The 12,498-nt window shown below is 39.7% G+C and overlaps 1 protein-coding gene across 51 annotated transcripts in view; it reads left to right on the forward strand.

The window, feature by feature from the left end:
• BPTF (bromodomain PHD finger transcription factor) overlaps positions 1 to 12,498 on the forward strand; it is a 158,876-nt gene that overhangs the window by 84,375 nt on the left and 62,003 nt on the right. For all 51 annotated transcript variants that reach the window (XM_005257150.4, XM_005257154.4, XM_005257159.3 and 48 more), the window contains 3 exons: positions 1,000 to 3,310; positions 8,837 to 8,961; positions 10,138 to 10,266. In XM_005257150.4, the coding sequence (XP_005257207.1) occupies positions 1,000 to 3,310; positions 8,837 to 8,961; positions 10,138 to 10,266 (2,565 nt within the window). The remainder of the gene's footprint in view (positions 1 to 999; positions 3,311 to 8,836; positions 8,962 to 10,137; positions 10,267 to 12,498) is intronic.

Consider the following 12,498-nt stretch of genomic DNA (forward strand, 5'->3'; position numbering starts at 1 on the left):
TAATTGATATCCCATACAATTCACCCAATTAAAGTGTAAATTCAGTGGCTTTTAGTATATTCACAAAGTTCAACCATTATTACATCAATCTTAGAACATTTTCATAACCTTGAAAAGAAGCCTCATTCATACCCATTAGCAGTTACTTCCCAACCCCTCCCGAAAGTGCCACCAGCTTAGTGGTCTACTTTCTGTCTCTCTGGATTTGCCTATTTTGGACAGTCCATAGAAATGGAATCAGACAATATGTGGTCCTTTGTGGCTGGCTTCATCCACTTAGCATGGTTTTAAGGTTCATCCATGTTGTAGCATTTATCAGTACTTTCTTTTTGTTTCTGAATAATACTCTGTATGGATATGCCACATTTTGTTATCCATTCATCAGTTGATGGACATTGGGCTGTTTCCTCTTTTGGCTATACGAATAATGCTGCTATGAACATTCATGCAGAAGTTTTTTGTGGCCATGCGTTTTCACTTCTCTTGGCGATATACCTAGGAATGGAATTACTGGATCATATGGTAACTCTGTTTAACCTTTTGAGGAACTACATTGTCTTTTGTAACAAGTCATTTTTAAAAAAAAACTAGATAAGCTAGATAATGCATGTGGCTAGAGATACTTTAAAAAAATATTTTTGGCTGGGCGTGGTGGCTCATGCCTGTAATCTCAGCACTTTGGGAGGCTGAGGTGGGCGGATCACCTGAAGTCAGGAGTTCAAGACCAGCCTGGCCAACATTGCGAAACCCTGTCTCTACTGAAAATTCAAAAATAAGCCAGGCATGGTGGCACATGCCTATAATCCCAGCTACTTGGGAGGCTGAAGCATGAGAATTGCTTGAACCCAGGAGGCGGAGGTTGCAGTGAACTGAGATCATGCCACTGCACTCCAGCCTGGGCAACAGAGTGAGACTCCATCTCAAAAAAAAAAATATATATATATAAATTCCTCCTTTCAGAGTAAAAATTACATTTATATAAATGTCTTTGTTTCACAGATGTGAAGGAGCTCTTAGATTCTGACAGTGATAAACCCTGCAAGGAAGAACCAATGGAAGTAGACGATGACATGAAAACAGAGTCACATGTAAATTGTCAGGAGAGTTCTCAAGTAGATGTGGTCAATGTTAGTGAGGGTTTTCATCTAAGGACTAGTTACAAAAAGAAAACAAAATCATCCAAACTAGATGGACTTCTTGAAAGGAGAATTAAACAGTTTACACTGGAAGAAAAACAGCGACTCGAAAAAATCAAGTTGGAGGGTGGAATTAAGGGTATAGGAAAGACTTCTACAAATTCTTCAAAAAATCTCTCTGAATCACCAGTAATAACGAAAGCAAAAGAAGGGTGTCAGAGTGACTCGATGAGACAAGAACAGAGCCCAAATGCAAATAATGATCAACCTGAGGACTTGATTCAGGGATGTTCAGAAAGTGATTCCTCAGTTCTTAGAATGAGTGATCCTAGTCATACCACAAACAAACTTTATCCAAAAGATCGAGTGTTAGATGATGTCTCCATTCGGAGCCCAGAAACAAAATGTCCGAAACAAAATTCCATTGAAAATGACATAGAAGAAAAAGTCTCTGACCTTGCCAGTAGAGGCCAGGAACCCAGTAAGAGTAAAACAAAAGGAAATGATTTTTTCATCGATGACTCTAAACTAGCCAGTGCAGATGATATTGGTACTTTGATCTGTAAGAACAAAAAACCGCTCATACAGGAGGAAAGTGACACCATTGTTTCTTCTTCCAAGAGTGCTTTACATTCATCAGTGCCTAAAAGTACCAATGACAGAGATGCCACACCTCTGTCAAGAGCAATGGACTTTGAAGGAAAACTGGGATGTGACTCTGAATCTAATAGCACTTTGGAAAATAGTTCTGATACCGTGTCTATTCAGGATAGCAGTGAAGAAGATATGATTGTTCAGAATAGCAATGAAAGCATTTCTGAACAGTTCAGAACTCGAGAACAAGATGTTGAAGTCTTGGAGCCGTTAAAGTGTGAGTTGGTTTCTGGTGAGTCCACTGGAAACTGTGAGGACAGGCTGCCGGTCAAGGGGACTGAAGCAAATGGTAAAAAACCAAGTCAGCAGAAGAAATTAGAGGAGAGACCAGTTAATAAATGTAGTGATCAAATAAAGCTAAAAAATACCACTGACAAAAAGAATAATGAAAATCGAGAGTCTGAAAAGAAAGGACAGAGAACAAGTACATTTCAAATAAATGGAAAAGATAATAAACCCAAAATATATTTGAAAGGTGAATGCTTGAAAGAAATTTCTGAGAGTAGAGTAGTAAGTGGTAATGTTGAACCAAAGGTTAATAATATAAATAAAATAATCCCTGAGAATGATATTAAATCATTGACTGTTAAAGAATCTGCTATAAGGCCATTCATTAATGGTGATGTCATCATGGAAGATTTTAATGAAAGAAACAGCTCCGAAACAAAATCGCATTTGCTGAGTTCTTCAGATGCTGAAGGTAACTACCGAGATAGCCTTGAGACCCTGCCATCAACCAAAGAGTCTGACAGTACACAGACGACCACACCCTCAGCATCTTGTCCAGAAAGCAATTCAGTTAATCAGGTAGAAGATATGGAAATAGAAACCTCAGAAGTTAAGAAAGTTACTTCATCACCTATTACTTCTGAAGAGGAATCTAATCTCAGTAATGACTTTATTGATGAAAATGGTCTGCCCATCAACAAAAATGAAAATGTCAATGGAGAATCTAAAAGAAAAACCGTCATCACAGAAGTCACCACGATGACCTCCACAGTGGCCACAGAATCAAAAACTGTGATCAAGGTAGAAAAAGGCGATAAGCAAACTGTGGTTTCTTCCACAGAAAATTGTGCAAAATCCACTGTCACAACCACCACTACAACAGTGACCAAGCTTTCCACACCCTCCACAGGCGGCAGTGTGGACATCATCTCTGTAAAGGAGCAGAGCAAAACCGTGGTCACCACGACAGTGACAGACTCCCTGACCACCACGGGAGGCACACTGGTTACATCTATGACTGTGAGCAAAGAGTATTCCACACGAGACAAAGTGAAACTGATGAAATTTTCAAGACCAAAGAAGACTCGTTCAGGTACAGCTCTGCCATCCTATAGAAAATTTGTTACCAAGAGCAGCAAGAAGAGCATTTTTGTTTTGCCTAATGATGACTTAAAAAAGTTGGCCCGAAAAGGAGGAATCCGAGAGGTCCCTTATTTTAATTACAATGCAAAACCTGCTTTGGATATATGGCCATATCCTTCTCCTAGACCGACCTTTGGCATCACTTGGAGGTATGTACTTTAAAATGTATTTGGGGGAGGGAGAAAATTTTAAAAAGAATTATCTCACAAGAATATCTCATTTTTAAAAAATGAGATAATAGAGATAAGACAGGAAACATATTAATGGCCAAAGATAGTAATGGAAACAGGATACAGAAAGCTTCAAAATTGGCCAACTAATGTACTAAAGTTTTTGTAGGGAAAAATGTTTAAAGTCTTAAAATTTAAGGGACTATTTTAAAAATGAAATTCAGTTTTAACTTTCATAAGACAAAAGGAACATGTCAGATGTGATTGTTTTTGTGGTCTGATTTTCTGAGTTACTGCTCTGGGAACAAGATAACCACCAACTTTCTGGAATGTTTGTATTTTATTTTTATTAGGTAATTCATAAAAAATAAGACATAAACACGCCTGTAAATTTCATAAAGCTTATCATAATGTGAAAATCTTCCTAATGTAGCTTAGTTGCATGATAAACATTTGTTTTGGAGTTCTCTGTTATTTATGTATGAATAGGTAGTCTCTAAGATTCCTTAGAAATTTTTTTAAACCCAGAAATAGTCCTAATTTAAAATTTTCTGGGCACTTTAGGTTTAGGGGATGCGTCCTAAATAGATAGTGTTGGTAGTTGTAAAATCATGTAGTTTTATGTTGGGAAGGCACCTTAGAAATTCTTATCTTTTGTAAATGTACAGTAATTTGCCTGTGGCTACAGAGACACAGGAATAGTGCCCGGTTTTCCTAAATCCCAGTCTAGTACTTTATTTGCTGTATCACATTTCACTTATGTGTCCTTGCTTTCTCCTTTTTCATGTCCTTGTCTTTATCTTTTCACCCCTGTAATTGAGAAGGATGGAACATAAACACTGAAAACATGAGAGTTCTGGGAACATCTTTAGAAATCAGAATCAGTCATAGTTGCAGTTAGATTTTGCTAGGACCCTCAAATTATTTCAGCGAGTTACTGAGCCGTTTTCATTTCCCCTTAGGCTTCGTTTTTGTGTGTCTTTTAATATTTTTCCAATTTCTTTAAAAATCACACTTTTTTGGTTTCCTTTATATTAATTACAATCAGCTAGAAAAAAAAGTAAGTACTCTCTATAAAGGAATTCATTTATTAATACAACCAGTCATAGTTTGTTTGACCAAGTTTTTTATAACTCATCTTTTGATTTGAAATAAAATATCATCACTCCATTACACATTCAATAGAGACAGCTGAAAAGTACAATTTCTCTGCAGGGCCTGCAATGAAGGATTTGCAGAATCCTGCAGGGAATCAAGGAACTCTTCATTACAATTCATGGATTTATAGGATTACTCTGCACTTTTCTGCTTTCTTCATTGAGAGCGGTCCCAAAATGTATCCTTGACTGTCCTGCAGGTAACTTCTTTCCCACTGGAAAAGTTACTATGTACAAATACTTTAATTAAAGTGACCTGGCAGTTGTGGAGGCCGACCTTTCTGCTCTTTGTATTCTAAAATGGAGGGTAGGCTCAACTGGGAAGCACTCTTCTCTGAACTCTCCAGGAGAGTTAGGCACTGGTCCCAATCAAGTGTTGCTCGGGGCCCTGTTCTGCACAGCTGAATTTCTGGAGCTGAATTTCATGTCTTAGTATGCACTATGGTACAGTTTATATTACTTGATTTCACATTTTTTAATGGGAGGAAATACCTTCCATTAAACATTCATTTTAAACTGATACAGCCTTCAAATGTATGCTAACGTCTTAATTTGCCAAAACATATTTGAGAGAAGCATAATCCTTTCTGTCTAATGGAGGCATGGGTAAATATGTAAATTGATCATGACTTTAGAATGCATTTTTTAAAAGCATATTGCTATAAAAAGCCATGCACGTGAAATGCATTTTTATACTAACACTAGAATAGAATACATCTGATGGTTAGGAGTTAAGAATGCCAAAGATGCATGTATGATCTTTGTTATTAATGTTAAGGCTGAGCAATATTGGAAAACTTGTCTCATACACTCAATAGGGCCTCTTTTTCCCTCCACACCATCCATTCCCTTATGCCCATCCTCCCAGGCCCTGATTCTGTGCTTCATTTTCACATTGAACTGATAGTTGTCCTCCACAGTGCTGCCAGAAAGATTCTCCTAAAATGCCCCTCTATCCTGTGAATAGTCTGACTGAGCTAAGGGACTTGGTAACTACTGCAGCAAGGAGCGGGGAAAGCATTTGTCACCTGTAGATCACATTCATGGAAAGTACTTCCCTTTACAACCCATCCAGTACTGGATAAATCTCAGAGGACTTAATATACATACCCTTTAATGCTCTTCTTTAATCTTTTATTTTGGTACAGCGCATTCTGGCTTCTGCCTTTTTCTCTCATGCCACCTTCATCTCTTTCTGTACCTCTACACCCCTTCCCTCCAGTCATAAAACACTGGATGTGGTTTCTGGGAAGAAATGTGTACTCCTGCACACTGTTCTGTTTAGCATATGTGTGCCCCTTGCCTTTGATCAGCAACCCCCATACTCTTAACTTGTCCTTTGAGACTCCAGCAAAGCTCTGATCCTCATTCCCGAGCCAACTCAGATGTCCCTCCCTTGTCCTTTCCTCTCTTACAGCTCCTTGAGAACACAGACAGATTCTAGTTTACCTCTGTGTCCCCAGCTCCTTTCACATAGTCTAACACATAGAAGATGCTCAAGTATTTTTTGAATGAATGCTTGAATGAGCAGACTTACCGTGCATGTGGTGTGTTCCTCCCTGGTGTTATTTCCATTTTAAAATAAGGATACTTTAAAGTCATTGTTTGACCACAGAGAATGAGGACAAACTTTTCCTTGCAAATAAATATTTATTTGCTTTCTCCTGTGACACTAAAGATCTCTAGGAATTACTATGGGGTATGGTCTGAAAGTGACAGACACTTTCCCCCTCTTGGGACATCCCTGCACTAGTTAACATTTCCCCTCTGATTTCCCCTTGACCTGCTCTGTCCAGGTCAGAGGATTCATAGTGCGATAACACAGTGGAGAAAGTAATGGTGTCACAAGTGGATATGGGAAGTTAAGAAGCTGCAGCAACTTTTTGGCTAGAGCTTTCTCTTTCACAGTGTTCATTTTTCCAACTGAATGCTGTCAATAGAAAGCATTGTCTTTCAGGTGGGCTCACGCCTCCCAGCACTTTGGGAGGCCGAGGCAGGTGGATCACCTGAGGTCAGGAGTTCGAGACCAGCCTGGCCAAAGTGGTGAAACCCCGTCTTTACTAAATATACAAAAATGAGCCCGGCGTGGTGGCGGGCGCCTGTAATCCCAGCTACTCAGGAGACTGAGGCAGGAGAATCACTTGAACCCGGGAGGCGGAGGTTGCAGTGAGCCGAGATCGCGCCATTGCACTCCAGCCTGAGCGACAAGAGCAAAACTCCGTCTCAAAAAAATAATAATAATATACAAAAATTAGCTGGATGTTTGGGCGGGCGCCTGTAATCCCGGCTACTCGGGAGGCTGAGGCAGAAGAATTGCTTGAACCTGGGAGGCGAAGGTTTCAGTGAGCCAAGATTGCTCCACTGCACTCCAGCCTGGGTGACAGAGCAATACTCTGTCTCAAAAAAAAAAAAAAAAAAAAGAAAGCATTGCCTTTTACATACAGAGTTGTTTGAGATTTACCTTCCACCTCTGTTAGAAGAGGAAATTATTTTTATTTTATAGCCTTTGTCTACACCATAATCAACCACTAAGTTCATTTAAGTAGAGTGAAAATGTCAACAAAGTATTCAGTTACACAAAGATATATAGTGAATTCCATTTTAGGACATGATATTTAATGCAGTTAAGTAAATTTATTTTGAAATACGTTTTTAGTATTTTTTAAGAATGTGTAAAACGTTTAGTACCTCCACACACAATGTTTAGAAACAAACATGAACACAGAGAGATTTGTCTGTTGATAAGTAACTAATATGGTATTGTCCTTTTTTTTTTTTTTTTTTTGAGATAGAGTCTCACACTGCCGCCCGAGGTGGAGTGCAGTGGAGCGATCTCGGCTCACTGCAACCTCTGCCCTCTGGGTTCGAGCTATTCTTCTTTCTCAGCCTCCCAACTAGCTGGGATTACAGGCGCCCGCCACCATACCCAGCTTAGTTTTAGTAGAGATGGGGTTTCACTATGTTGGCCAGGCTGGTCTCAAACTCCTGACCTCGTGATCCCCCCACCTTGGCCTCCCAAAGTGCTGGGATTACAGGTGTGAGCCACTGCGCCCAGCTGATATTGTCCTTTTTCTAATATTTTACTATTCATTGTAGAATTTGAAAACTACACTAATGCTGTTAAAGTTTTATTAGTATTAACTTTATTCATCATCCAGTTGTTCATGTTTTGAATAACCACCATTTGGATGCAGAATGTTTTTGTCCGTTTGGAAAGGTCTTACTAGATTTGTAAGATGTTTTTGGTTTAATTTAATTAATTAATTAATTAATTAATTAATTTAGAGACAGAGTTTCACTCTTGTCGCCCAGGCTAGAGTGCAATGGCATGATCTTGGCTCACTGCAGCCTCTGCCTCCTGGGTTCAATTGATTCTCCTGCCTTAGCCTCCCAAGTAGCTCGGATTACAGGCATGCACCACCATGCCCAACTAAGTTTTGTATTTTTTGTTTTGTTTTGTTTTTGAGACAGAGTCTCGCTCTGTCGCCTAGGCTGGAATGCAGTGGCCGGATCTTGGCTCACTGAAAGCTACACCTCCCAGGTTCACGCCGTTCTTCTGCCTCAGGCTCCCGAGTAGCTGGGACTACAGGCACCCACCACCGCGCCTGGCTAATTTTTTGTATTTTTAGTAGAGATGGGGTTTCACCGTGGTCTCAATCTCCTGACCTTGTGATCTGCCCACCTCGGCCTCCCAAAGTGCTGGGATTACAGGCATGAGCCACCATGCCCGGCCCTAAGTTTTGTATTTTTAATAGAGATGGGGTTTTGCCATATTGGTCAGGCTGGTGTCGAACTCCTGACCTCAGGTGATCTGCCCACCTCGGCCTCCCACAGTGCTGGGATTACAGGCGTGAGCCACCGCATCTGACCTCATTTTATTCTTTTAGAAAATTTAAACATTTTCAGGTTTCTTGTTTTTGCAAAAGTTAGGATTTTTCCTTCAAAACTCCTTTATCACATTTAATAACAATTATCTATTTCTCTATATTTGGTCCCCAAAATTTTCCTAACAGATATTTTGGAATTAGGTTAACTTTATAAAGTCTTCATGAATTTTTGCCTTATCAACCTTACAATGAAACATTCTCATTTTATAAACTTATATGGCATTTAAAATGAATATAGCCCCTTTTAAAAAAAAATGTTAGGTGCGTGTTATGCCTATGAATGAAGAAGTTTTTCTTTTAAAGGACATATAATACCAAAGTCTTACAAAACCATATTATAAATACTGGAGTCCTAATGAGGACAAGAAACACAGCCCTTCAGTTTAGTAGAGTGAATATGAATGTGTATGTGTATGTATATACATATAGATATATATGGATTTCTTTGGTTTTCCTTTCAGGTATAGACTTCAGACAGTAAAGTCCTTAGCTGGAGTGAGCCTGATGTTACGGTTACTGTGGGCAAGTTTGAGATGGGATGATATGGCGGCCAAGGCTCCTCCAGGAGGAGGGACTACACGGACAGGTAAGGGGGAAGGGAGTTATTTTCTAATTTAAGTTTAAAAGCTAAAATCACAGGCCAGGCGTGGGCGCTCATGCCTGTAATCCCAGCACTTTGGGAGGCTGAGGCAGGTGGATCATGAGGTCAGGAGATCCTGACCATCCTGGCTAACATGGTGAAACCCCGTCTCTACTAAAAATACAAAAAATTACCTGGGCGTGGTGGTGGGCTCCTGTAGTCCCAGCTACTCGGGAGGCTGAGGCAGGAGAATGGCGTGAACCTGGGAGGCGGAGCTTACAGTGAGCTGAGATTGTGCCACTGCACTCCAGCCAGTGCGACAGAGTGAGACTCTGTCTCAAAATAATAATAATAATAATAATAATAATAATAATAATAATAATAATAAAATATAATGCTTGTTTTTTAGAAATACAGTTTTGGCCATGTGTGGTGGCTCTCACCTGTAATCCTAGCACTTTGGGAGGCCAAGGCAGGAGGATCACTTGAGGCCAGGAGTTTGTGACCAGCCTGGACAACATAACGAGACCTTGTCTCTTCAAAACTCTAATTTAAAAAGAAAAAAATCAACTAGGCCTTGTGTTTGTAGTCCCTGCCACTTGGGAGGCTGGGGCCAGGAGGATTGCTTGAGCCAGGAGTTCAAGGTTGCAGTGACTGTGGTCCACTAATGTCTTCCAGTCTGGATAACAGAGCAAAACCCTGTCTCTTAAAAAAAATTTTTTTTTCACATACAGCTTTGTTGAAGTTTGGCACATGCTATAAAATCCCAGGGGCCAGAAGGGAAGGTTCAGATTATAAAGTGAGTCACTTATGTGTGAACCAGTCTACATTTTTTAAAAGATATTTATGATTGTTTAATTAAAAATTTAAACTAAGACTTCTGGAGGCCTGTGCTTGCTGCTTCTGTCCTAGGCTTTTTATTATTTTGATTGAGTATTGCCACCAGGAGCTCAGCTATACCCAGCAGCATTTTGTTTCGTTTAGGAATTTGCAGCGAGGAAGAAGCTCAGTATTGTTGCAGTCTAGCAGTGATCCTGCTAGATGTTAGTGATCCTGTTAATTAAGTCAGGTGTTTCCAAAAGTTTATTCCACGTGTGTCTCTTTTTGAAAGCACCAGATGTACCTTTTTAGTCTCTGAGTATTTCAGTTGGTTATTAATACTATTGAATTAAATCACCATAGAAACATCCGAAACTGAAATCACAACAACAGAAATAATTAAGAGGAGAGATGTTGGTCCTTATGGCATTCGATCTGAATATTGTATCAGGAAAATCATTTGTCCCATTGGAGTTCCAGAAACACCAAAAGGTAAGAAATAGAATTCTATTCTTTCATGATTAACCTGTTAACCATGTATTTTATGAATTGAAATTTGATATAATTTTTTCTTCTCTGTTCACCTTTTAAAAAAGACATATTTTACAACTACCAAATTTTGAAAATGATATTAAAGTAATAAACATATCAAGATTCTGGTAGACACACATCGATGCCTATAAGCCTTGTTCTAAGCACAGCAAAGGGCTATAATAATACCTCTTGTAATTAAGATGTGAGACATTGATTGACCCCAGACCAGCAGCTCCTGGAGAGCAGCCATCTCGTCTGTCTGGTTTATTGAAGTCACGGCAGCTAGTACCGAGTCTGATATGTAAGTGGGTCAATAAAGGTTTCTTAAGGATTAAAACTACTGTGAAATACTTCAGTGCTCAAGGTAGAGATAATCCAAGAGGCATAAAGAGTTACTCAAAAAATGTTTATAGAGCACCAGTACAATAGGCACTGGGTGGCAAATACATAGAAGAATGATATTTGGCCCCTAATCTCAAGGAAGCAAAGTAAAGCTTATAGTATTATAATATCAGTGTTATATGTGTTGCAGTAAGCTAAGAGAGTAATATTGGAAAAGAAGATTAACACTAATTTATAGATAATTATGAATGTCTACTTAGAAAATTCATGAGAATTAAAAGTATTAGCACTAATAGGAGTTCATTGTAGTATCCAGATTGAAAATATATAAATTCCATTTTATTTTATATAAACAATAAAAATATTTAGGAAAAAACCTAGTAAGAAATATATAAAAGGCCAGGTACAGTGGCTCACACCTGTAATTCCAGGACTTTGGGAGGCCGAGACAGGTGGATTACTTGAGTCCAGGAGTTCGAGCCCAGCCTAGACAATGTAGTGAAACCCTATCCCTACAAAACATACAAAAATTACAAAAATATTGGTAATGTGCATGCCTGTAATCCCAGCTACTCAGGAGGCTGAGGCCCGAGAATTGCTTGAGCCTGGGAAGTGGAGGTTGCAGTGAGCTGAGATCACACCACTGCACTCCAGTCTGGGTAACAGATTGAGAATCCGTGTCAAAAAAAAAAAAAAAAAAAAAAAAAAGAAATACAGGCCAGGCATGTGGCTCAAGCCTGTAGTCCCAGCACTTTGGGAGGCCGAGGCGGGCAGATCACTTGAGATCAGGAGTTTGAGACCAGCCTGGCCAACATAGCAAAACCCCATCTCTACTAAAAATACAAAAAATTAGCCAGGTGTGGTGGTACACACGTGTAGTCCCAGCTACTTGGGAGGGTGAGGCGGGAGAATCACTTATACCCAGGGGGCAGAAGTTGCAGTGAGCCAAGATTGTGCCACTGCATTCTAGCATGGGCAACAGAGTGAGACTCCATTTCCAAGTAAATAAATAAATAAATAAATAAATAAAAAGATAATGTCCTTAGATAGAAACGTAGTGTTTTTATAAAAGTTAGTTCTCCCCAAATGTATACAATTAATTTTTGAAACTTGATTAAATTAACTTGGGAGTTCTTCTTGGAGAATAACCTTTTTGAAAAGAGTACCAATGAAGTAATACCTGTTCCTAGTAGATGATAAATTTTAGCTTACTTAAAACAGCGGCCAGGTGCGGTGGCTTCCGCCTGTAATTCCAGCGCTTTGGGAGGCCAAGGCGGGTGGGTCATTTGAGGTCAGGAGTTCAAGACCAGCCTGGCCAACATGTTGAAACCCTGTCTCTTCTAAAAATACAGAAATTAGCGGGACATGGTATTACACACCTGTAGTCCCAGCTACTCGGGAGGCCGAGGCACGAGAATTGGTAAACCCAGGATGGGGGTGTTGCAGTGAGCCGAGATCACACCACTGTACTCCAGCCTGGGCAACAGAGCAAGACTCTGTCTCCAAAAAAAAAACAAAATCACAAGGTCGTCCTGGCACAGAAACAGCTCTGTTGATGGGCAGAGACACAGATGGGAGATGTACCTGGCAGGCCTTCAGTCTCCTTGACCCCACAGCCTTTGATGCAAACCACTGCAGTCCCCTAAAATCACTTCTCTTTGGCTTGTATCCCTTTGTACAATTCAGGTCCTGCTTTCATTTCTGTTTCCTTCTGCTGCTTCCTTGTGATTGAATATATGGGAAGGTTCAATGCTTGTCCCTCCCTGCTTTTTATTTTTTAAATCTTTTTATGAGGAGATTTTATCTATTCTTAGGTTTCACATCTCCACTTTATATTGGTAACTCTCA

The sequence above is a fragment of the Homo sapiens genome, chromosome 17, assembly GCF_000001405.40.
Source record: "Homo sapiens chromosome 17, GRCh38.p14 Primary Assembly".
Lineage (NCBI taxonomy): Eukaryota > Metazoa > Chordata > Mammalia > Primates > Hominidae > Homo > Homo sapiens.